The following is a 24,798-nucleotide window of genomic DNA, read 5'->3' as shown; positions in this document are numbered from 1 at the left end:
ACTTTTATACCATTGCAGTCTGTCTGGGCTACTATCACAAAACACCTTAGACTGGGTGATTTATAGACAACAGAAATTTATTTCTCACAGTTCTGAAGGCTGGAAAGTGCCAGATCAGGTGGCCAGCAGATCTGGTGTTTGATGAGGGCTCTCTGCTTCCTAAATAATGTTTTCTTGCTGAGTCTTCACATGGGAGAGGGAGGCCAGGCAACTCCCTCCAACCTCTCCTATAAGGCTCTAATCTCATTCATGAGGGTTCCACCCTCATTCCCTAAGCAATTTAATGCCTTCCCAAAGGCCCCACCTCTTACTACGATCGCTTTGGGTATTGGGTTCTGACACATACATTACCTCATTTACTTTCAAAATAGTAGTGTGGGCATTTTTAAAAACTATAAAATATTTCATGCATAAAAAACACACACTATATATATTAACAGTTAAAGAATAAAATGTCTGCTTCCCACCACTTAGAAAGAGATGGTTACAAACACCTCTGCAGGCTCGCGTCTGTTCCCAAACACATCCTTTCCCACACTCATCCCAGACAAAGTTACTGTCCTTAAATTTGAGATTATCAGGACTCACTGCTAGGAGCTGGAGACAAGCAGCGGGCTCCCCACTCATGGAAGAGGCTGAAACAAAACAAAAACAGTTATGGATCCCTGAACAACTACGGAGTGGAGGCTCACAGCAAACTGCAGGCCCAGGGTGGGGGCACCGTAGCCATGGGCCTCTGAGAAGCCAGTCACCCTGGCTCTGCACCTGAATCTGTCAGGTGTCCAACGTCAATGGGGGCACAAGCCCCTGATGTCATTATAAGCCTGGGGCTCTAGGGGCAGCAACAAACTGCTGGGTAGGGAGGGGTGAGCTCAGAGAGGGAGAGAAAGGGAACAAAAGACACCATAGACAGATTCTGCGAGGCTCTGTGCATATCGCTGTGAGGCCTGGAGGAGCTGGCCAGGCCCCAGCTGCAGGCTCCCCCTCATTTGTACTCAGATTGCCTTTGGAAGAAGAGCGATCATCTGCTCCTTGCATCTCCCTTCAGCACAGAGCCAGCCCCACATCCCACCCCATCTTCCAAAGCCCCAGGGCCCTGTCTACAGGGTCTCTCCAGCTGGGGCCGGCCCATCATGGCAGGAGTAAAGGCCCGGGTCCCAGCTGAGCTCCGACCCGCCGATTATCCCAGATTAGGGAGCCTGTGACCATCTGGACACAGCTGATAATGGCAGTGGAGGAGGGGAGTGGGGACAGTTAGCCTGCCTGCGCCCACCCTATGGGGAACGCTCAGGACAAAGCAAAGAAGGCATCATATCACTGGCCTACCCAGGGAAAAGGCAGGGGCAGATCCAGGGCACGCTCCTCCCAAACAAGTGGGCATCTTAGTTGGCTGGACCCTTCCCACATGCCAGGCAGGGCGCCCCATTTACCCCATGCTGACTGTTCGTGCCTCCAGTGCGCTTTCGTGCACGTGCCCTCTCCTTTGTCTGCCCAGGCCCACCTTATAACCTCAACCCGAGTTGCCTCTTCTCCTTGTGCCCCTTCCTTATCCGCTGCCCTCCTCTATCACCGGGCACATGGCCAGGTCTTTCTTTTATGTGACTTCTCTAGTCTCCCCTGACACACCCATAGGATTCCCCTTGAGGCAGGAAAGGTGTCAGTTTCACCTGTGTCCTCCAGCGCCTGGAACAAGGCTTCCCACTGACTACACTAAATCTTGTAATAGTGTAAGGCAGGCACTATTGCCGCCCGCCTGCCCCCTCACAAATGAGGAAACAGAGACTCAGCCTTGTGAGGTGAAGTGACTAAAGTCATTGGGCTGGGAAGTGGCAGCAGAGCCAGGATTCAGACCTGGGCCCAGCTATCTCCGAAGCCAGCTCTCTCCACACTGCCTCCCCCAGGCTCTGCTAACCTGACAAATGGCTTGAGTGCAGCACAGATGTGTCGAAGGAGGAGAGACCATCATTTGCACCATGGGGAATCCCTGTCTGATGGGATACTGTCCCCACCCTAGAGGCCTGCAGCTAGATGGACACATGGTTCTTGTCCCTGATAAGAGAGGTTCACAAACACAAGCAAAAGGTGACACCCCAGGTGTGCTAAGCTCCTAGGACTATTGGTTAAACCAAAACACCAAAAATGGAGGATCTCCCTGGCTCCTAATCCACTGCACTTTGGACACTCAGTCCAAATGAAAGAGAGGGACCTGCTACCACTTAGCAGGAAGCCAGGCCATGAATCCTGAGAGCACTGAGCCCTCAGGTGTGCGGCTTTGCCGTTCGCTCCCTTGTTGAGAACATAAGAGACTTCACTCGTGGTATACCCTCAGAAGCCACTGAACTCAAATTTAGTTTTTGAGTTTCTTTTTTGAGCAGTTCTATTTGTAAGGATATTTTATGACTATTCTTAATGGTCTTCCAAAGAACAAGATTTATTTTTTAAAAAAATGACTGTAAACCCAGTACTTAGGGAGGCCGAGGTGGGTGGTTCACCTGAGATTAGCAGTTCAAGACCAGCCTGGCTAACAAGGCAAAACCTCATCTCTACTGAAAATACAGAAATTAGCCGGGCATGGTGGCGTATGCCTGTAGTCCCAGCTACCGGGGAGGCTGAGGCAGGAGAATTGCTTGAACCTGGGAGGTGGAAGTTGCAGTGAGCCTAGGTTGTGTCACTATACTCCAACCTGGGCTAGAGAGGGAGACTCCATCTCAAAAATAAAAAATAAAAATAAAAACAAAATAAAATGAAACATTCATTACCATATGGATATATTAGATTTTCTTTTTTTCTTTCTTTTTTTTTTTGTTTGAGAAGGAGTCTCACTCTGTTGCCCAGGCTGGAGTGCAGTGGCACAATTTCAGCTCACTGCAACCTCCGCCTCTTGGGTTCAAGAGATTCTTCTGCCTCGGCCTCCCTCGTAGCTGGGATTACAGGTGTGTGCCACCATGCCCAGCTAATTTTTGTATTTTTAGTAGAGACAGGGTTTCACCATGTTGGTCAGGCTAGTCTCAAACTCCTGACCTCAGGTGATCCACCCGCCTCAGCCTCCCAAAGTGCTGGGATTACAGGCATGAGCCACCAAGCCCAGCCAGAGTAACATATTTCTAAAGACAAAAAAGAAACATGGTTATTTTCATCCAGTTAAATCATTCTACAGAAAGGATTTCATCACACAATACTGTGTGATAAAAACTTGGACCAAACAGTGAATCAGGATGACTATTTTTCCTGGTATGCTGAGGGTAAACCAGTGAGCAAAAGACCCACATCCTTTGGCACCCACCCCCTCTGGCAGGAAAGTGGCCCTATTGCTGTGCTATGCTTCCCCGGAAGCTCGCTCTAAAAAGCAAAAAAGTCCTTAATTAAAGGCCAGCTCTACCCTCTCTCTAGGCAACTGGGGGGCTCAGAGTCCAGCTCTCCTGCTCACCACAAAAAGGGCTGTGAGAATAGGCTGGTTGCAGGTGTAGTCAATGGCCTGCCAGTGAGGGTGGGATGCATATATCACAGTGGAACTCCCTGCTCGGTGGACAAAGACCCAGCTGTACCTGGGCAGGCTGAGGGGTTAGCACAGCACTGGACCAGGCAGCAGAGGCATGGCTTCATTTGAATTTCAGAGCTACTAGGGCTCCACCTTCTTTGTGAAAATGAGGGTTTGGGATCACATAAGTCATTCCCAATCCAGAGACTCACGTTACGTGTTCTCAAATTGGAAGTTAGGATCTTGACATTCTAAAATTTTTTTTTAATTCGAGACCAATTTATTCTCAAATTTTATGAACACAGGAATACTATCCTTGAAGAAGAGTGCATTAAACAAATCTTTCAATTCACTTCATCCTGTACTTTATTTTTTAAAAAATTTTTTTACCTTTTTTTTCCCTACCACCACTGCTGCCACCCATCGTGTATTTTAAAATAACTTTTTTCCATCTTGATTTTTCTCCATTGGGGATAAAAACCAAAATAAAAGATAACCCAAATACGGTTAAAAAATGTTTAGGATCTTGGGTTCCAGGCAGTTCAAAAACTGTCAAAAGGTTATATTTACCACCAGACTGCCACAATGGCAGAACAAAGTAAGAATTAGGACACTGAAATGGGTGGGGTGGTCCTGGCATTGCCCCAGCCAGATGGATCACATGGCCCCCCACCCAGAGAATCTGGGGCCAGGGGCAGCAGGTGGCCCAATGCCAGCCTGCCCATCCCTGGAATGAAAGCAGAGCCAAAGCTTCAGCTGTGTGGCCTTAGGGATGGGGCAGACTTGTGGAAAACCAGGCTGTGAGGCTGCAAACACCCTGGTTGCTGGTGGTCCTGGAGGGGTGGAGCCCGTATCTGCACCTCTTATCTGACCGAGAGGCAGGCCCACTTCCTTCCTGGCCTCTAGATCTTGATCCGGGCCGAGGCTGGGCAGCCTGGTCATTTTGGCCAATGCTCACACAGTAGTAAGCTGATCTCCATAGGTTAACAGTCACCTTCCTTCCCAAGACCCCAGCATCCCCTTACAGGTGTACTTTCCAGTGGCAATATCCTGCACCTGGGGCACACCACCAGCAGTTCAGTCCCCTGGGACAAGCAGCACCTCAGAAAGCAAGGGCCTGGGGCTGTGACTCTGGGAAGGGGTCAGGAGGGCCCAGGAGGGGCCAGGAGACCAGCCAATGTTTCTTACCTGCCAGGCTCAAGTGATCCTCCCACCTCAGCCTCCCAGTAGCTGAGACTACAGGCATGTGCCGCCACGCCCGACTAATCTTTAAATTTTTGTGTGTGTGTGACGGAGTCTCACTCTGTCACCCAGGCTGGAATGCAGTGGCGCGATCTCGGCTCACTGTAACCTCCGCCTCCCGGGTTCACGCCATTCTCCTGCCTCAGCCTCCCGAGTAGCTGGGACTACAGGTGCCCGCCACCACGCCTGGCTAATTTTTTTTGTATTTTTAGTAGAGACGGGGTTTTACCGTGTTAGCCAGGATGGTCTCGACTCCTGACCTTTGATTCCCCTGGCTCGGCCTCCCAAAGTGCTTGGATTACAGGCATGAGCCACCACTCCTGGCCTAAATTTTTTAAGAGATGGAGTCTGGCTATGTTGCCCAGGTTGATCTTGAACCCCTAAGCTCAAATGATTCTCCCATTTCGGCCTCCCAAAGTGCTGGGATAACAGATGTGAGCCACCATACCCTGCCAATATTTCTTAAAGCCTAAGAAAAATCACCAGTTCTGCCTAAGATGTACTGTATGGATTAAACTTGTAAAATGAGGTTAGTAATGAAATCTGTCCATTATAAGGGATGTCAGGAAGATTAAATGTTTACAGCAAGCTCAGGGCATATAACAATTATCTTCTCACCATGGTCATGCTTACGCTATAAATGTAGCTTTGGCTAATAACAGAGAGTCATACCAGTCTGGGTGTTATAAGGAAAAAAAGAGAATGGTTTGGTTGATAAAATAATATCAAAATCTAATGTCCCTGAGGAGAACAGTAAGAAAAACAATCTCTGAGGTTGAAAATATTCACTCTCTATGATACTTCAATGTTTTCCAGCTCTGATGCTGGCAGGCCCTACTTTGAAATACAACAGCTGCATTTATACATAGCAACATCAGATCTCAGAAATAATCACTAGATGGATGCCTGTAATCCCAGCACTTTGGGAGGCTGAGGTGGGCGGATCACCACACGTTGGGAGTTCAAGACCAGCCTGGCCAACATGGTGAAACCCCGTCTCTACTAAAAATTAAAAATTAGCCAGGTGTGCTAGTGCATGCCTGTAATCCCAGCTACTCAGGAGGCTGAGGCATGAGAATCACTTGAACCCAGGAGGCGGAGGTTGCAGTGAGCTGAGATCATGCCACTGTACTCCAGCCTAAGTGACAGTGAGACTTTGTCTCAAAAAAAAAAAAAAAAAATAGAAATAATCAAGATGGAAAATGGAACAAGGCACAGTAAAAGGCCAAATTCACCATTGTAAAATGGGAATATTGATTATCTGCCCAGCTATGCCCACCTTTTGAACAGAAACAGAAAGCATGGCACCTGTAGTCAGTGCACGTACAGTTGGGATGGGGAGAATCCAATATCATGAATTTAGGTATTAAAATCCAAGAGGATATGCTTAAGTAGTGGTAATAGTAACAGCTAGCACTAATTGGGCACTTGCTGTGATAGGTCAGGCATTGTGCTAAGCACTCTACATGCAGATGACCAAAGGGAGGAACAGGGAGGTAACTGATGTGCTTGCGCTCATACTGCTAAGTTGTATACCTGGTGCTGAATCCAAACTGTCGGGCTTGAATAGCTGGGGTTTTCTTTAATTTTTCTCTTAGCCATGTTATCCTTTATTGTCCAAGTTTTCTACAATGAGTGTTGATGTCTTTTTTTTTTTTTTTTTTTTGACAGAGTATCTCGCTCTCTCACCCAGGCTGGAGTGCAGTGGCACGATCGCGGCTCACTGCAACCTCCGCCTTCTGGGTTCAAGCAATTCTCATGCCTCAGCCTCCTGAGTAGCTGGGATTACAGGCATGTGCCACCACACCACACCTGGCTTTTTTTTTTTTTTTTTTTGAGATGGAGTCTCGCTTTGCCGCCCAGGCTGGAGTGCAGTGGCACGATATCGGCTCACCGCAACCTCTGCCTCCCAGGTTCAAGAGATTTTCCCGCCTCAGCCTCCCAAGTAGCTGGAATTACAGGCACCCACCACCAAGCCCAGCTAATTTTTGTATTTTTAGTAGAGATGGGGTTTCACCATCTTGGCCAGGCTGGTCTTGAACTCCTGACCTCGTGATCCACCCACCTTGGCCTCCCAACATGCTGGGATTATAGGCATGAACCACCATGCCCGGCTAAATTTTGTATTTTTAGTAGAGACAGGGTTTCACCATGTTGGCCAGGCTGTTGTCGAACTTCTGGCCTCTACTGATCCACCAGCCTAGGCCTCCCAAAATGCTGGTGTGAGCCACCACACCCCGCCAGAGCTGGGCTCTTAACTGTTATAATGTCTCCAAACAGAGGGAATAGATGATAAACACTAGAGAAGAAACACAGAAATGCGTATTAGTAGTTACATCTCCTTTAACTCCCACAACAGCCCTGTGAGATAACTGAGGATCAGAAAGGTCCAAGGTCACCCACTCAATCAGTGCTGGTGCCAGAATTTGATCCCAGGTCTGACTGCAATGCTCAGCTTCTCCCCGCATCTCAAGTCCCCTTAGTAAAGCACTGCAGAGGAAGGTGTTCCCACTCGCCTCACCACCACAGCAGCACTGAGATACTCATAGCCTTTGCTTAATTTCCCAGGTAAGAGTGAGGAGCATGGCTGACTGGAGGTGGTGGACTGGGTGGGGTCTGTGGCTGAAATTTCTTGGACCTCCCCTTGGTGGTGTGAGGTCACAGATGCAGGTAGCAGACTCCAGATTATCACATTACGCTGTGGGCTTCAGCAGCCTTGCCAGCCCAGCTTCTGTCTGGGAGTGGATCCCCCAAAAAACCCTTTATCCACTGTCCTCTCAGCACACATTGTGCTTCTCCTGGTTCTCTCCGCTAATGGTGGTGTTTTCATCCCTGACTGGCTCACCCTCTGGGTCTATCCCCAAGAGCTCACATTACTAGCAGGTGTTCTCTCCTTGCCTGATGGGCAAGCTGATCAGTTAAGCAGCTCCCAGCTCCCAGTCTGTCAGCAGCTGCCAGGAAACCTAATGACTAGAACCTAACTCTTCAGAGCCTGAGAATAACCTTTTTTATTTATTTTAATTTTTTTTTTTTTTGAGAGTCTCGCTCTGTCGCCCAGGCTGGAGTGCAGTGGCGCGATCTCAGCTCACTGCAAGCTCCGCCTCCTGGCTTCATGCCATTCTCCTGCCTCAGCCTCCCTAGTAGCTGGGACTACAGGCGTCCACCACCACGCCTGGCTAATTTTTTGTATTTTTAGTAGAGACAGGGTTTCACCGTGTTAGCCAGGAAGGTCTCAATCTCCTGACCTCGTGATCCGCCTGCCTCGGCCTCCCAAAGTGCTGGGATTACAGGCGTGAGCCACGGCACCCGGCCGACAGTAACCTTTGATGAGAAGTCCATGAAAGGCTTCAGCCCTTGTCTCCATGTTGCCAATAGCCATATTTCTACCAGTGGGTTCCAAGGACAATTTCACAACATGGTTTTGGCCACCCAGCATCAACACCTTGCCTAGTTGGTGGGGAGGGGCATTGAGTATGGCACTGGGCTGGGCCTCATTTCCACTGTAGAAGCCAAAGCTATCTTTTTCAGCAGCTGGGTCAGACACCAGGCTTGGCCAATCAGATGCCCACACCCACAACTTTAAACCTCAGAGTGACACAAAGAAAAAGGGACAGCTGAAAAATCGTTCACTGAGGGAGTCTGGTGATGACATCCTAGACCAGACTGCTTTTCAGCCATGACCTTGGCTGCGTTCCCTGATGCCAGCCTCCCTAGATCTCATTTCAGAGCTGAGTTTTCCAGGCTTCTCATAGATTCTGAGTTACCTGAGATCCTTCCAATAAAGTTCTATGCTGCTTATGTTAGCCAGTTTCTTCTTTTGCTTGCAGATACAATACCTAATTTGCTGTGGATGGCATCCAGCTCAGAGGGTTCTTGCCTCCAATGTGGGAGTCTTCCCTAAAATCCTGTTGTGGTGAGGTTACCCTGAGAGGGCAGGCCTGCTCTTTCTAAAATGGCTTCTGAACAAACTGTGCATTAAGCTGCCAGTATTGTCATACTTAAGGTAATAGCATCTGGGAAAAGATAAAAATACACACATTCAGTGGTGTATACATGGACTGTATCTCTTTAAGAATATACAAGAAGGGCTGGGCGCGGTGGCTCATGCCTGTAATCCCAGCACTTTGGGAAGCCAAGGAGGGCGGATCACAAGGTCAGGAGATAGAGACCATCCTGGCTAACACGGTGAAACCCTGTCTCTACTAAAAATACAAAAAATTAGCTGGGCGTGGTGGTGGATGCCTGTAGTCCCAGCTACTCGGAAGGCTGAGGCAGGAGAATGGCGTGAAGCCAGGAGGCAGAGCTTGCAGTGAGCTGAGATCGCAGTGAGTCGAGATCGCACCACCGCACTCCAGCCTGGGCTACAGAGTGAGACTGTCTCAAAAAAAAAAATATATATATATATACACACACACACATATATACAAGAAACACAGTGGAGAGCGCCTCTGCAAAGGGTGAGCTCAGCAGTGGGAGAGGGGCTGATTTTACCATGTTTATGAATAGACTAACATGTTTTAAAATATTATTTGGAACACATGTTAATTTTCACAGGTTGAAATAAAAACAGGACAGGCATGGTGGCTCATGCCTGTAACCCCAGCACTTTGGGAGGCCAAGGTGGGCAGATCACTTGAGGCCAGGAGTTCAAGACCAGCCTGGCCAAAATGGTGAAACCCCATCTCTATGAAAAATTACAAAAACTAACTGGGTATGGTGGCGTTTGCCTGCAGTCCCACCTCTTGAGGCTGAGGCACAAGAATCACTTGCCTGGGAGGCACAGGTTGCAGTGAGCTGAGATCACGCCACTGCACTCCAGCCTGGGCGATAGAGCGAGACTCTGTGTCAGAAAAAATAAATAAAATAAAAATAAAAACACATAGATTAGTATCATCTTTATTTCACTGGCAATCAGATTTTATATCTGAAGCCCTGACAGAAAGAAAATGACTCTCGAACTTTCCTGTGACCCCTGGCCCTCAGCCTTGGCTCCTTTGGCCTGAACCTCCTACTCTCCTGCAGAGAACATCCAGTTACTTTGGGATCACTGGTGGGGTGGAGGCAGGAGTCCCTGAGGGCAGTATGTACCCCCATCTGCATATTCAATGCCTCTTCTTGCCCCCTTCTCCCAAACCCTATTTTGAAATGGAAAGGAACAGAGAGAGGTAATGATAGCCTTGGCTTGAAGAACATTCAGGAGAGCTACAAGTAAGCAAGTCTCTCCTCATTCATCAAGCCCCCACTGTGGAAGTAGGAAAGATGGAGCTGCAGAGAGGTCCAGCCAGGAAAGGCAATAGAGTCCATGACAAGAGCCAAGCCAGTGCCACAATACCTCCTTAAAGGCTCCAAATACAGTCGTGCTGGAGGTTAGGGCTTCAACATAAGAATTTGGGGGGACATAAATCAGTCCACAACAGCAAGAGCCAGATCAGGGAAGGCTTCACAAAGGCAAGTTTCAACTAAGTTCTACTGGAGTCAGTCACAAGGGTGCAAGCAGTGTAAACAGCCAGGTACAAAAGCACAAAGAGGGGAAGATGAGTCCTTGTTTGGCCTTTCCTTCAAGGGTGCTGTAGATGGGCTTTACCTGGGTATTTAACTGGAAGTCTTTTGCAGTCCTGAGGGTGGGGCCATGACCACTACTGAAGCAGGATTCCATCTACTTGCACAGATTACAAGCTAAGATCTCTGGCTGTGTCCAGCACCACACATAAGGCTGAATGGTTGTCCCTAAAGGACACTGACAATGTCAGACTGCTTCACCAAGAGCCACAAGGCCTTTAAGAATTACCTTAGAGGTCTTCCCACCTTCCCTAACAGCAGCTAAATTCAGGGAACCACTTAATTCCTCTACTGAACAGCACTCCTGTGGCACAGCCCTGGCTGGAAGAGTAATGCCATTTGGTCAAGCAACAAGCATTTTCAACTCTCCCTCCCCACTTAAGACATATTAAGGGCTGGGTGCAGTGGCTCACACCTGTAATCCCAGCACTTTGGGAGGCCGAGGTGGGTGGATCATGAGGTCAGGAGATCGAGACCATCCTAGCTAACATGGTGAAACCCCGTCTCTACTAAAAATACAAAAAAATTAGCCAGGCATGGTAGCGGGCACCTGTAGTCCCAGCTACTCGGGAGGCTGAGGCAGGAGAATGTCGTGAAGCCAGGAGGTGGAGCTTGCAGTGAGCCGAGATTGCGCCACTGCACTCCAGCCTGGGCGACAGAGCGAGACTCCGTCTCAAAAATAAATAAATAAAATAAAATAAAATACAAATACTTGCTAGTACTTTTCATTATACTGTCTAGGGAGGCAATTACTTTGAAAATCAAGGTAAATGCCAAGCACAGTGGCTCACATCTGTATTCCCAGCACTTTGGGAGGCCGAGGAAGGAGGATCATTTCAGGTCAAGAGTTCAAGACCAGACTGGGCAACATGGTGAAACCCCATCTCTACTAAAAATATAAAAATTAGGCCGGGCACGGTGGCTCATGCCTGTAATCCCAGCACTTTGGGAGGCTGAGGTGGGCAGATCACGAGGTCAAGAGATCGAGACCATCCTGGCTAACATGGTGAAACCCCATCTCTACGAAAAATACAAAAAACTAGCCAGGCGTGGTGGCAGGCACCTGTAGTCCCAGCTACTTAGGAGGCTGAGGCAGGATAATGGCGTGAACCTGGGAGGCGGAGCTTGCAGTGAGCCAAGATCTCGCCACTGCACTCCAGCCTGGGTGACAGAGCGAGACTGTCTCAAAAAATAATAAAAAATAGAGTGCCTGCGATTGCAGGCGCGCGCCGCCACGCCTGAATGGTTTTCGTTTTTTTTTGGTGGAGACGGGGTTTTGCTGTGTTGGCCGGGCTGGTCTCCAGCTCCTAACCGCGAGTGATCCGCCAGCCTCGGCCTCCCGAGGTGCCGGGATTGCAGACGGAGTCTCGTTCACTCAGTGCTCAATGGTGCCCAGGCTGGAGTGCAGTGGCGTGATCTCGGCTCGCTACAACCACCTCCCAGCCGCCTGCCTTGGCCTCCCAAAGTGCCGAGATTGCAGCCTCTGCCCGGCCGCCACCCCGTCTGGGAAGTGAGGAGCGTCTCTGCCTGGCCGCCCATCGTCTGGGATATGAGGAGCCCCTCTGCCTGGCTGCCCAGTCTGGAAAGTGAGGAGCGTCTCTGCCCAGCCGCCATCCCATCTAGGAAGCGAGGAGCGCCTCTTCCCCGCCGCCATCCCATCTAGGAAGTGAGCAGCGTCTCTGCCCGGCCGCCCATCGTCTGAGATGTGGGGAGCACCTCTGCCCCGCCGCCCTGTCTGGGATGTGAGGAGCGCCTCTGCCCGGCCGCCCCGTCTGAGAAGTGAGGAAACCCTCTGCCTGGCAACCGCCCCGTCTGAGAAGTGAGGAGCCCCTCCGTCCAGCAGCCACCCCGTCTGGGAAGTGAGGAGCGTCTCCGCCCGGCCAGTCGCCCCGTCCAGGAGGGAGGTGGGGGGGTCAGCCCCCCGCCCGGCCAGCCGCCCCGTCCGGGAGGGAGGTGTGGGGTCAGCCCCCCGCCCGGCCAGCCGCCCAGTCCGGGAGGGGGGAGGGGGGGGTCAGCCCCCCGCCTGGCCAGCCGCCCCGTCCGGGAGGTGAGGGGCGCCTCTGCCCGGCCGCCCCTACTGGGAAGTGAGGAGCCCCTCTGCCCGGCCAGCCGCCCCGTCCGGGAGGGAGGTGGGGGGGTCAGCCCCCCGCCCGGCCGGCCGCCCCGTCCGGGAGGTGAGGGGCGCCTCTGCCCGGCCGCCCCTACTGGGAAGTGAGGACCCCTCTGCCCGGCCAGCCGCCCCGTCCGGGAGGGAGGTGGGGGGGTCAGCCCCCCGCCCAGCCAGCCGCCCCATCCGGGAGGTGAGGGGCACTTCTGCCCGGCCGCCCCTACTGGGAAGTGAGGAGCCCCTCTGCCCGGCCACGACCCCGTCTGGGAGGTGTGCCCAGCGGCTCATTGGGGATGGGCCATGATGACAATGGCGGTTTTGTGGAATAGAAAGGCGGGAAGGGTGGGGAAAAAATTGAGAAATCGGATGGTTGCCGGGTCTGTGTGGATAGAAGTAGACATGGGAGACTTTTCATTTTGTTCTGTACTAAGAAAAATTCTTCTGCCTTGGGATCCTGTTGATCTGTGACCTTATCCCCAACCCTGTGCTCTCTGAAACATGTGCTGTGTCCACTCAGGGTTAAATGGATTAAGGGCGGTGCAAGATGTGCTTTGTTAAACAGATGCTTGAAGGCAGCATGCTCGTTAAGAGGCATCACCACTCCCTAATCTCAAGTACCCAGGGACACAAACACTGCGGAAGGCCGCAGGGTCCTCTGCCTAGGAAAACCAGAGACCTTTGTTCACTTGTTTATCTGCTGACCTTCCCTCCACTATTGTCCTATGACCCTGCCAAATCCCCCTCTGCGAGAAACACCCAAGAATGATCAATAAAAAAATAAATAAATAAATAAATAATAATAATAATAAATAAAATAAAAATAAAAATTAGTCAGAGATGGTGGCACGTGCCTGTAGTCCCAGCTACCCGGGAGGTTGAAGTGGGAGGATGGCTTGAGCTCAGAAGGTGGAGTTTGCAGTGAAATTGTGCCACTACCACTGCATTCCAGCCTGGGCAATAGAGCCAGACCCTGTCTCAAAAAAGAAAATCAAGGTAACTTATGGAGGGTGGAGCTGTGTTTAGAGTGGCATATAGAGGGAGTCCCAGCATAATTTATACTTCTCAAACTCTGGTTACCAAGTGCTCACCTGAGCTCTACATTTGTCTTACATAGTTTTCTGTAAAAGATGTAGAAGAGTAGGCTGGGTACAGTGGCTCACGCCTGTAATCCCAGCACTTTGGGAGGTGGATCACTTGAGGTCAGGAGTTCGAGACCAGCCTGGCCAACATAGTGAAACCCTGTCTCTACTAAAAATACAAAAATTGGCCAGGAGTGGTGGCGGCCTTCTGTAATCGCAGCTACTCAGGAGGCTGAGGTTGCAGCGAGCTGAGATTGTGCTACTGCACTCCAGCCTGGGCGACAGAGCAAGACTGTCTCAAAAAGAAAAAAAACCTCCCACTTGAGCCTCCTAAAGATTACAGACATGAGCCACTGCACCTGGCCTCCCATATCTTCTTAGATACAAGGGAGGGGGCAAATCTGGGTTTTTTTTTTATTTTTTTGAGACAGGGTCTGTCACCCAGGTTGGGCTGGAGAGTGGTGGCACAATTATGGCTCACTGCAATCTCCACCTCCCAGGATCAAGCCATCCTCCCACCTCAGCCTCCATATCTGGCAAATTTTTAAAATCTCTTCGTAGAGACAGGGTTTCACCATGTTGTCCAGGCTGGCCTGGAACTTCTGGGCTCAAGTGATCCACCTGCCTTGGCCTCCCGAAGTGCTGGGATTCCAGGTGTGAGCCACCACAGCTGGACATATTTTGGCATTTTTAAATGGTTACACAGGGGTGTTCACTTTGATAATTCAATAATCTATACACTAATAATCTTCATTTTTCTGTCACAATTAAGTTTATTTCTTCCTCCCTAAGCTGTTACTCTTACTGCACATTGCCTTTGTCACAGCACCACCTAGTGGTAATTAACAGCACTTTCTTCCAATAATTCAGTAATCTATTACGCTAATAATCTGCATACTTTTCTGTCACAATTCATTAAGTTTCTTTCTTTCTCCTTAAGCTATTACTCTTGTTGCACATTTCCTTTGTTACAGCAACACCTAGTGGGAATTAACAGCACTAACTTCTCCCACCGGCTGAACTTCCAAGTGGACTGGAGAAAACTCATGAGGAATTTAAAAGATCACCTAATCTAATATACGGCACAGTACAGTCTTAACCTATTCCCAGCACTTAATCTGCAGATGTTTGGCCAGGCACGGTGGCTCACGCCTGTAATCCCAGCACTTTGAGGGGCCGAGGCAGGCGGATCACGAGGTCAGATCGAGACCATCCTGGCTAACACGGTGAAACCCCGTCTCTACTAAAAATACAAAAAAAAATAGCCAGACTTGGTGGCGGGCGCCTGTAGTCCCAGCTACTCGGGAGGCTGAGGTAGGATGGTGTGAACCAGGGAGGCGGGGCTTGCAGTGAGCAGAGATCGCGCCACTGCACTCCAGCCTGGGTGACAGAGCGAGACTCCGTCTCAAAAAATAAAAATAATAAAAAATAATTTGCGGATGTTCAAGTAAGTTCAACTGGCTGGGTGCGGTGGCTCACGCCTGTAATTCCAGCACTCTGGAAGGCCGAGGTGGGGGGATCACTTGAAGTCAAGAGTTTGAGACCAGCCTGGCCAACATGGGGAAACCCGGTCTCTACTAAAAATACAAAAATTAGCTGGGCATGGTGGCGGGTGCCTGTAATCCCAGCTAGCGGGAGGCTGAGGCTGGAGAATGGCTTGAACCCAGGAGGCGGAGGTTGCAGTAAGCCGATATAGCACCACTGCATTCCAGCCTGGCACACAAGAGCAAAACTCCACCTCAAAAAATAAAAAAGACAGGAATCCATATAATCATCAAAGGCTCTTTCAAAAAGGTGAGGGAGGGGCAGCACATCTGCAAGATGAAGTTCTGGAGATTGATGCACAATGAGAATATAGAGCAGTCTTCCTGCAGTACCAATGATTGGTTCCATGACCCCCTTCAAATACCAAAATCCCCAGATGCTTAAACTCCTTATACAAAATGGTAGAGTATTTATACCTAAGATAACCTAGGCACATCCTTAGACTTTCAATCTTCACTGGATTACTTTTAATACCTAATGTACATGCTACATAGCTGTTACAACTGCAGTGTACAAGAAAATAAGTGACAAGAAAATATAGTATTTTGAAAATAAGAAAAATAAGTCTACATGTTCAATACACACACAACCATCCTTTTTGATTATTTTTGACCCAAAGTTGGTTGAATCCACAGATGCAAATCCCTTGGACAGAGGGCTAACTCTGTCACTATAGAAGTGTACACTTAAATGGTTAAGATGACCAATTTATGAGTCAAAAAGGAAGGGGGGGTCAGATACTTGTCAGTGTACGCCCTACATAATTACCTCAAATATTAAGCCCTTACCATGTGCCAAGCAATATAAACACCATGTGCAGCTCAGTCTAATTGAGAAGAAAACCAAATCATCACAGCACCTGCTAAGCCATCTGTGGAGCCAGGGTTATCTCATCAGCCAGGCTGCATCACCAGGAAGCAGCCACCTGATAACAGCTTTCCCTGGAAGTCCCCTCTGTGATCAACCAGCATCTGATTTAACAACAGTCTCATGATTTTCAAGCCAACCTGTCCCTCACTAGTTTTGCCTGAAAAAATAGTGCCGAATTTCTTGTGAAGTACAGACACTGGTAGAAAATACTTCAAAACATTGATAGATAAAATCAGAGACAATTTAAATGTTCTTCACAGTTCTCCAGAACATAATAGCCTGTAGTACCAATGACTGGTTCCATGATCCCCTAAGAGAACACAACTTAGGAATGTGGATTCTAATGATAGCTTTATACTGCTTAGGCAAATTTACTTCTGAGCCTTATGTGCCTTCAGTGGTGCAAGCAAATTTCCTTTACACTTTAGAGAGGTTGATTAACGAGTACATATGTAAAGAACACTTAGAGCACAGCATGACACAAAATATAATGGCCATTTATATTCACTTTCTATGTGCAACGTGGATCGCCTTATGCATAGGAAAAACTCAAACATATCCCTCTTCTAAACCTACAATCCTGAACTACAGGACAACGAATCAAGGTGCTGCCTTGCTTGCTATCAGCCTTCTCTATCACACAAATATTATTTCTCTGGTTGGCTCTGCTTGGGTCTTACTGTTCTGGCCCTTGCAAATACCACAAGTATGGTTAAAACCAAGAAGATATGTAATGCTCCAGAGGCCAACATGCCCCTCAGTCTGAATACTGAACAGTCTAGTCAGACCTTGTGTCTTTGTACAAAATTTTATTAAAGGTCTTTAGAGAGCAACATCCAGACTCCAGAATACAGCTGCCAAGGAGACCCTGAAACCAAATAAAGCACAAAAGTAAGAAACTTTACCAGAGTTATTAAGTTCCTGATTTACCAAATGGATACACACTCCCACTTAGGGTTTGCAGCAACATTAATAAAATGCATACATAAGGGTTTGTCCTTTTTCATATAAAAAAAAAAAATACAAGGCACCTGGAGAGACAACACCTATAAACAAAAAAACCCCAAGTGTTGACCACAGGAGGCTTGTTAGTGTTTTACAGGGGCTGCTAAAGGACAGAATAGCAAAAGTGCCTAGAAAATCTTGAGCAGCCAAGCACAGTGGCTCACCTGAGGTCAGGAGTCTGAGACCAGCCTGGCCAACAAGGTGAAACCCCGTCTCTACTAAAAACACAAAAATTAGCTGGGCTTGGTGGCAGGTGCCTATAATCCCAGCTACTCGGGAGGCTGAGACAGGAGAATTGCTTGAACATGGGAGGCAGAGGTTGCACTGAGCCAAAAATTTTGAGCAAATAAGGGAGGATAAGGGAAAACTATTTCATATACACGAGTAAAAGCAGGAACTTCTTTCTGGAAAGAATAAAGGCAACACCTGTCCCATTGGAACCAAGGGTTAAATAGACCCCAGGTTTCAACTTGTATTCTCCCACATAAAGCAAATAAATGAAATTTTTATTCACCAAACGCTTACCAGAATGTGGGATACAAGTATTAACAGAAAGACTCGGAAGGACCCTATTATGCCCCAAGAGGCCCCTGCCCTTGCAGACATACCTGTTATGCTGTGGGGACTGGCTGGGGCATGGCAGGCGGCTCTGGCTTCCCACCCTTCTGTTCTGAGATGGGGGTGGTGGGCAGTATCTCATCTTTGGGTTCCACAATGCTCACGTGGTCAGGCAGGGGCTTCTTAGGGCCAATCTTACCAGTTGGGTCCCAGGGCAGCATGATCTTCACCTTGATGCCCAGCACACCTAGAGGACACCACAGTTGTTAGCACACAGCTGGGGTCTCAAAGGCCCCCATCACACAAGACCAAAGAGAGCAAGCAGTTTACTCAAGCACCCCTGGGTCTGGACCCTTCTCAGACAAATGCCTCTAAATCGATCAATAAATAGGACACTTCTGCCAAAGGAACTCGTGCACAGCACCACAGAACATGGCACTGACAAGGACCAAGAGCAGGACGTGACCTTTCTGACTCGTCATCGTGTCATCACTGAAGGGTACACAGATGGCTAAAACAAGGACAAACCAACTCTTGGATCTGACAGATCTCAGCAAATCGATTCTTACAGATCAACGTGGCAATCGATACACCAAGGAATATGAACATGCCCAGCTACTTCCATGATAAACTCCCCCAAATACTTAAGATGTCTGTGGAAAACCAAATCTGTCCACAAATGCCCTTTGCCAAGCACTCTCAGCTGCTCACCCTGTCTGAGCAACACGTGGCGCACAGCAGTGTCAACGTAGTAGTTAACAGGGTCTCCGCTGTGGATCATCAGGCCATCCACAAACTTCATGGATTTAGCCCTCTGTCCTCGGAGTTTCCCAGACACCACAACCTCGCAGCCTTTGGCCCCACTCTCCATGATGAACCGCAGCACACCATAGCAGGCCCTTTAAAAGAACAGAAGAGAGCCACTGTGTTATTGCCAAGGACCTCCACCAAGTTTAAAAAACAAAACAAAGACTTGGTTTTCAATGTTCCTTTAATGGAGAATAATTTGACCAGAGTCCGGCCCCAAGAATACCAATTCTCTTCCACACCTATCATTCCGAACCTTAGGGTAATATTCATCAAGTATGTCAAGCTCCTAAATATGTACTTTCCAACCCTGGCTGCATACTGGAATCACCTCAGAAGGCTAAAATAAAAAACAAAAGAAACCCTGACATCTAGGCCCTACTCTAGGCCAATTAAATGTGCAAAGTCCAGGAATATCTATTTAAAAATGCTCCCTGGGTGATTCTCATGTATAACCAAAACTGAGAACCACATTTACACTCCACAATTACCCACTTTGTGGTCCCTTGAAATACTCTGCAACCTCCGAAGTCTCATTCACTAGGAAAGCTTACCCACCTAGGATCCTGGCTATCTTGCTATTAGAACGCTGATAAAACACTTTAAAATATGACCTACCCCCCAACTCATTCGGCAGTTTACGCTCTGCGAGATACTAACTGGAGAGCTAGCCACCTCCAGGCCCTTTCACATTATCTTACTTAATATTCCACAACTGAGAGGTGGTATAATGGTCCACCTTAGAAGATAACAGATCCCAGGCTGAGAGGTTCATTAACTTGCTTCAATGTGTGCAAACAGCATGTGGAGGGGTTATTAAGACAGATTGCTGAGTCACACATCCAGTTTCCCATTTGGTGGGTCTGGGGCTGGCATTAATCTTGAGAACCATTGTTCTAAGCAGCCTAGCTGGCACTCAAACCAGGTAAGCCGTCTTTTCTATGTCCTTACCTAGAGCCTTGCCTACACTACCCATCCCTACCAGTCAACCTTCCTACAGCACAGCTTTCCTGTCATTCCTCTAGGCAAGGCATTTCAGTGCCTTTACATACAGTCAAACTGCACAAAGAACTTCCTGTTGAAATCTTACCAGTAGACCCTCACATTACTACTATCTGCATGCAACTCAGAGGTTAAGTGTCTAGATTTTAAGCTATTTTGCATCAGGTCTATCTTATCTCTTCACAATACCATCTTAAGAGTGAACACACTAAGCAGATTTGAATGATTGCTACTAAAGTTTCATGGTATCCTAACTAGTACTAAGGCACTTCTACCTAGGGATACGTAACACACCCAGTAACAGGCCTAATTATTCCTCATTGCCCACTGCCCCGCCCCCCGCAACAGGGCTCTTTGTAAAGCCTTCTCAAGAAGACCAACAGGAGTTGGTCCCCTCCTTGGACAGTTCTATTTGTGTTTAACTCCCAAAGCACCCAGAACACTTCTCCATTACAGGACTGACCACCCTTTACAGTTCTTGCTGCTTTAGTAGTCTTGTTAGCCTGCCAGTTCAGTGAGGGCATGACTTAGTATCTTATTATAACCCTGGGAGACTAGCAGATCCTGTAACTTTGTAACAGTTCATCTGCTAAATTAACAAATGGCAGACATGTATGTTGATACACACAAAAGGTCATGACCATTAGGTCTCAGGACACTTACCTCCGCACAGCAAGCCCTCCTAGGAGTTTGTAACGCAGAGACTCTGCCTGGGCAATGGCACACAGACCTCTAGTGGCCACCTTTTCAGCATAAAGCTTTAAAGGAAGCAAGGGATATCCTGTTACCATCACCATTATTTTCAACTGAAAGTTGAAAATTTGGCATTTGCCACACAAGTATCACTTTCTACACCAAGCTTGCCCAACCCACGGGCCGCATGCTGCCCAGGAGATGGCTTTGATTGTGGCCCAACACAAATTCAACATCGTGATTTTTTGCGCTACCAGTAGTAGTGTGGCCCAAGACATTTCTTCTTCCAACGTAGCCTACGGAGGCCAAAAGATCGGACACCACCATCATATACAGCATATAATTTCAGTATCCCTCAATTCCTAAAGCACTTCTACCACCTACACACAATGCAGGTTCCTTGCCCTCCCACCCTGGCTCCTTTGGCCATGCCAAGTACACCAATGGGGACAGTTAATCCATCATATGCATCATTTCTATACCCAAGTTGAATGTAAAATCCTTTAACCATCAGCCATTAGCAGAATAGGCTTACAAAGTTAAGCCCATTATTCATTAAGAGAATTTCAACAGTTATACCAGTCCATTTGTAATGAACAAACAATTAAAGTCTCCAAGTTGAGAGTTTTTAGAAGTATCATTCTGAAGAGCCATTACCTCTGGCATATGCCAGAATCACTCACCTCTACACTGCCCTCTGGAAAGCCAAACCTCTTCTGAACTACAGCAGTCAGTTCCCGAATCCGCCGGCCCTTCTCACCAAGAACATTCTGTGTTCTGGGGGGGAAAAGTGACAATTCAAGATTCTCACAAATGCTAGATGTAACTTTAAATCTTGCATATATGTGTGGTAGCAAAATCTCTGCCACAAAGCATATAATTTTCATTGACAAAAACTAAAATTTTTAAAACGCAGCTTTTTTTTTTGAGACAGGGTCTCACTCTGTCACCCAGGCTGGATCACACCAATGGCTCACTGCAGCCTGAACCTCTTGAGCTCAAGCCATCGCCTGCTTCAGCCTCTGGAATAGGTGGGACCACATGCATGCACCACCACACCCTTTTTTATTTTTTGTAGAGCGGGGGTTTCCCCATGTTGCCCCGGCTGATCTTGAATTCCTGAGCTTAAGTGATCCTACGCCTGGCCTTAAAATCTAGCTTTTAAGAAGCAATTACATTCACTAAGCCCAGATTCACTGTTCCGTCTGTCCCCTTAAGTTCATAAAGGATAAACCTGCCGGGCGCGGTGGCTCACGCCTGTAATCCCAGCACTTTGGGAGGCTGAGGCAGGCGGATCACGAGGTCAGGAGATCCAGACCGTCCTGGCTAACACGGTGAAACCCCAACTCTACTAAAAACACAAAAAATTAGCAAGGTATGGTGGCGGGCGCCTATAGTCCCAGCTACTCGGGAGGCTGACGCAGGAGAATGGCGTGAACCCGGGAGGCGGAGCTTGCAGTGAGCCGAGATCGCGCCACTGCACTCCAGCTTTGGGGACAGAGCAAGACTCCGTCTCAAAAAAATAAATAAATAAATAAACCAACTTAGCATTTATAACAATTATAGGTGATGGCCAGTCAAATGAGTTTTACCTGGTGGCTAAGATAATGATTTCTGTCCTGGTTGGTGTAACTCGCACCTCAACTCCAGAGTAGCCATCTTCAGCCAGCTCCCGAGTAAGAAACTCATTCAGTTCAGCTTTGAAGATGCCATCAGCGACAAACTAATCCAAACAAAGCAAAGTTCAAAATTAGGAGATCGGTGTAGGCTCACTTTCGCCTGAGCCAGTCTAGTCTTATTAGTCAATGCATCCCTCACCAAAACTAAATACCTCCAACCAATGGTTCCAAACCCTTGTTCCAACAGGAGTGCAGCAACCCTTCTCAGACAAATGCCTCTAAGTCATCTTTAGGAAATTACTTCAACCAGGGCTCTTTAAACTGTGCCACAGAACGCAGCACAGAGTAGGCCACCTGGGCAAAGAGAACATCCCCAAGTCAGACTCGTCATCATCTCTTCATCGAAGGGTTTAAAACAGTTCCACATGCAAAACAAGAAACTGCTCTAATGGCCTATTTACACTTCATTCAGCACAGCAAAGACACTGTACTTGTCACTGTTAAGGAATAGATAGTAGACTTAACATATAAGCTCTCTCACTTGTAGACACAACCTGCACCGTCTAAAGAATCCCAGCCATGTTATTTGGCTTTACGGTACCAACAGAGCTGGCAAATCCTAACTCTCGAGAAGTTGTGGATTTAATTTTGACATCGAAGTGTATATACGAAATGACAAACTGTCTATTTTTAAAGCTAATGATTTTTACACAGTTCTATCCCATGTAATGACAAGGCGTTAAATCCGAGGCAGCTTCCTCCCGGGGTCCCCAGACGGAGCAAGCAACCGTCAGCAACCCTTCAAGTTGAGGTCCTGGGGCCAGCGGACTGTACCCAGAAACGACCAGTTAAGGCAAGAATACACTGCTGCCTTCTCTTCCCAAAACCACGGGATAAGACATGAGGGAAATGACACACGCCCTCAAAATACCACGTTTACTAATTCCGTTGACCGACAAATGCTCACAAACGCCTTCTCCGGGACAGAAGGGGCGCCTGGTGCCCATCTCTCTGCGCTTCACTTGGAACCCGGCCACACAGCGCCCTCCTGGCTGGGGCCTCTCACTCAATCCACCGCCATCCGCGGCCCGCAGGAACGCCAGGAAGCCTAGGCCGCTTCCAGGGCAGGCCACGGAGCTGCAGGCCTCGCGGTGGCACCCCGAGAAGCCCTCGACCCGCGCGGCGCCGTCGTTCTCCGAACCCAGTCCCCAGAGGCTCACCTTCCTCTTCTTGGATATTTGCACTGCCATCTTGCCGCCGCGCTCCGCTGAAAGGAAAGGAAGTGGCTCGCGGGCGGAAGTGAGTATAAAGGGCGCGAGCGACGACGGAGGGCTGCGCTGCGTGCACGCCTGTGGGTGCTCATGGGAAATGTAGTTTTTACGTAAGTAAGGCGTCCAGGGAAAGAAGAATGTAGGCAGGAACAGGAAAGGGGCTTCATCCAGCAGGACTTCTAAACTTCAGGGGACCTTAGAGTTCAATTCTCATAGTTTCAAAACAAGCAATGTGAGGTGCAGAGGTGGAAATTACAGGTATAAGTTCACACAGCAAGAGAGATTAACCAGCGTGGAACTCTGGCCCCTACACTTTCAGGGTGGACACTGTAATGAAAATCTGCTGAAATCCCTCAGTGAAACTCATTTAAGACTCCTCTTTGGGAGGCCAAGGCGGGCGGATTACTTGAGGTCAGGAGTTCGAGATTAGCCTGGCGAACATGGTGAAACCCCGTCTCTACTAAAAATAGAAAAATTAGCTGGGAGTGGTGTCGGGCACCTGTAATCCCAGCTACTCGGGAGGCTGAGGTGGGAGGATTGCTTGGACCTGGGAGATGGAGGTTGCAGTGGGCCAAGATCCTACCACTGCACTCTAGCCTGGACCACAGAGTGAGACTCTGTCTCAAACAAACAAACAAACAAACAAACAAAACAACTCATGTCCCCCAGTCTGTACCCATTTCCTCCATTCCAAATGATAATAATAAAACCTGATACTTACTAAGTGTCCTAGGGACTGCGTTCTGTGTCCTTTATGTTGTTCTCATTTACCCCACCTTACTTTCATCAAGTCCATTACAATTTGTAACAGAAGTCCCAGAAGGTCCCATGGGCCCGCCCTTCCTTCCTTCCTTCCTTCCTTCCTCTCTCTTTCTCTCTCTCTTTCTCTCCTTTCTTTCTTTTCTCTCCGGTTGCCCAAGCTGGAGTGCAGTAGTACGATCTCAGCTCCCTGCAACCTCCACTTCCCAGGTTCAAGTGATTCTTCTGCCTTGGCCTCCTGAGTAGCTGGGATTACAGGTGCACACCACCACACCCAGCTAATTTTTGTATTTTTAGTAGAGATGAAGTTTCACTATGTTGGCCAGGCTGGTCTTGAACTCCTGACCTCAAGTGATCCACCTGCCTTAGCCTCCCAGAGTGCTGGGATTACAGGCATGAGCCACCGTGCCTGGCCTTCTTTTTCAATTAAAAAAAATTCTAGCCAGGTGCAGTGGCTCAGGCCTGTAATCTTAGCACTTTGGGAGGCCAAGGCAAGTGGATAGCTTGAGGCCAGAAGTTTGAGACCAGTCTGGGCAACAGAATGAGACACCCTCATCTCTATGAAAAGTGAAAAAAGAAAATTATCCAGGTGTGGTGGTGTGTGCCTGTAGTCCCAGCTACTCTGGAGGGAGATGTGAGAGGATTGCTTGAGTACAGGAGGTCTAGGCTGCAGTGAGCCGTGATTGTGCCACTGCACTCAGCCCGGGCAACAGAGTGAGACTCAGTCTAAAAAAAATAAAAAATTAAAAATGTCCCTTCATTTTTTAATGAAGCTTACAGAACAGTTGAAAAAACTGTACGTGTATGCATCACCAAGCTGAGGGGGAATTGAGAATGATGCTACAATTAATATTTTGCTGTTGCTTTATCGTGGATCTACTCATCCCTGTAGCCACCCACCAATACATCTTTTGAGGCATTTCAAAGTAAGTTGCAGACATTGGTAAACTTTACCCCTAAACACTTCAATAACAGTTTTATTTTATTTATTTATTTATTTTTGAGACGAAGTCTTACTCTGTTGCCTAAGCTGGAGTGCAGTGGTGCGATCGCCGCTCACCGTAACCTCCACCTCCCGGGTTCAAGCGATTCTCCTGCCTCAGCCTCCTGAGTAGCTGGGACTACAGGCAAGCACCGCCATGTCCAGCTAATTTTCATATTTTTAGTAGAGATAGGGTTTCACTATGTTGGCCAGGCTTGTCTT

General features: G+C 48.4%; 1 protein-coding gene and 2 non-coding genes across 6 annotated transcripts, besides 6 other annotated features; all 3 read right to left on the bottom strand.

Annotated features, from left to right (window-relative positions):
- Window positions 1-59: 59 nt before the first annotated feature.
- Window positions 60-22,844, bottom strand: RPS3 (ribosomal protein S3). 4 transcript variants are annotated; one of them, NM_001256802.2, is made up of 7 exons: window positions 22,785-22,844; window positions 21,538-21,668; window positions 20,629-20,722; window positions 19,916-20,010; window positions 18,155-18,342; window positions 17,494-17,690; window positions 60-635 (listed from the first exon to the last, which is right to left on the bottom strand). In NM_001256802.2, the coding sequence occupies exons 1-6, from the start codon at window positions 22,812-22,814 to the stop codon at window positions 17,497-17,499; spliced, it is 732 nt and encodes a 243-aa protein (NP_001243731.1). In that variant the 5' UTR covers window positions 22,815-22,844; the 3' UTR covers window positions 60-635; window positions 17,494-17,496. The 4 variants fall into 4 exon arrangements, with proteins under 4 accessions (NP_001243731.1, NP_001247435.1, NP_000996.2 ...); NM_001260506.2 differs by lacking the exon at window positions 60-635 and adding an exon at window positions 15,455-16,779 and having other exon boundaries at window positions 19,916-20,058; NM_001005.5 differs by lacking the exon at window positions 60-635 and adding an exon at window positions 15,455-16,748.
- Window positions 14,372-14,871: an enhancer, noted in NCBI's record as "H3K4me1 hESC enhancer chr11:75118535-75119034 (GRCh37/hg19 assembly coordinates)". NCBI's record gives its function as "activates a minimal SCP1, AML or CMV promoter by ChIP-STARR-seq in naive H9 embryonic stem cells {active_cell/tissue: H9 hESC(naive)}" and the evidence as "EXISTENCE:reporter gene assay evidence [ECO:0000049][PMID:30033119]".
- Window positions 15,743-16,037: a silencer, noted in NCBI's record as "tiled region #6526; HepG2 Repressive non-DNase unmatched - State 14:Gen5', and K562 Repressive DNase unmatched - State 5:Enh". NCBI's record gives its function as "represses a minimal TATA promoter and a strong SV40 promoter by Sharpr-MPRA in K562 cells {active_cell/tissue: K562}" and the evidence as "EXISTENCE:reporter gene assay evidence [ECO:0000049][PMID:27701403]".
- Window positions 15,743-16,057: a biological region, named in NCBI's record as "Sharpr-MPRA regulatory regions 4651 and 6526".
- Window positions 15,763-16,057: a silencer, noted in NCBI's record as "tiled region #4651; K562 Repressive DNase matched - State 5:Enh". NCBI's record gives its function as "represses a minimal TATA promoter and a strong SV40 promoter by Sharpr-MPRA in HepG2 and K562 cells {active_cell/tissue: HepG2 | K562}" and the evidence as "EXISTENCE:reporter gene assay evidence [ECO:0000049][PMID:27701403]".
- Window positions 17,796-17,941, bottom strand: SNORD15B (small nucleolar RNA, C/D box 15B). Its single transcript, NR_000025.1, has one exon. It is a non-coding gene; the product is annotated as a small nucleolar RNA, C/D box 15B (small nucleolar RNA).
- Window positions 21,418-22,281: an enhancer, noted in NCBI's record as "NANOG-H3K27ac-H3K4me1 hESC enhancer chr11:75111125-75111988 (GRCh37/hg19 assembly coordinates)". NCBI's record gives its function as "activates a minimal SCP1, AML or CMV promoter by ChIP-STARR-seq in primed H9 embryonic stem cells {active_cell/tissue: H9 hESC(primed)}" and the evidence as "EXISTENCE:reporter gene assay evidence [ECO:0000049][PMID:30033119]".
- SNORD15A (small nucleolar RNA, C/D box 15A) lies at window positions 21,824-21,971 on the bottom strand. The gene has a single exon (NR_000005.1). It is a non-coding gene; the product is annotated as a small nucleolar RNA, C/D box 15A (small nucleolar RNA).
- Window positions 22,508-22,867: an enhancer, noted in NCBI's record as "active region_5267". NCBI's record gives its function as "activates an Ori minimal core promoter by ATAC-STARR-seq in GM12878 lymphoblastoid cells {active_cell/tissue: GM12878}" and the evidence as "EXISTENCE:reporter gene assay evidence [ECO:0000049][PMID:35858748]".

This window comes from Homo sapiens, chromosome 11 (genome assembly GCF_000001405.40).
Source record: "Homo sapiens chromosome 11, GRCh38.p14 Primary Assembly".
NCBI lineage: Eukaryota > Metazoa > Chordata > Mammalia > Primates > Hominidae > Homo > Homo sapiens.
The sequence above is the reverse complement of the archived record's forward strand: the minus strand, read 5'-3'. Positions and strand labels throughout refer to the sequence as shown.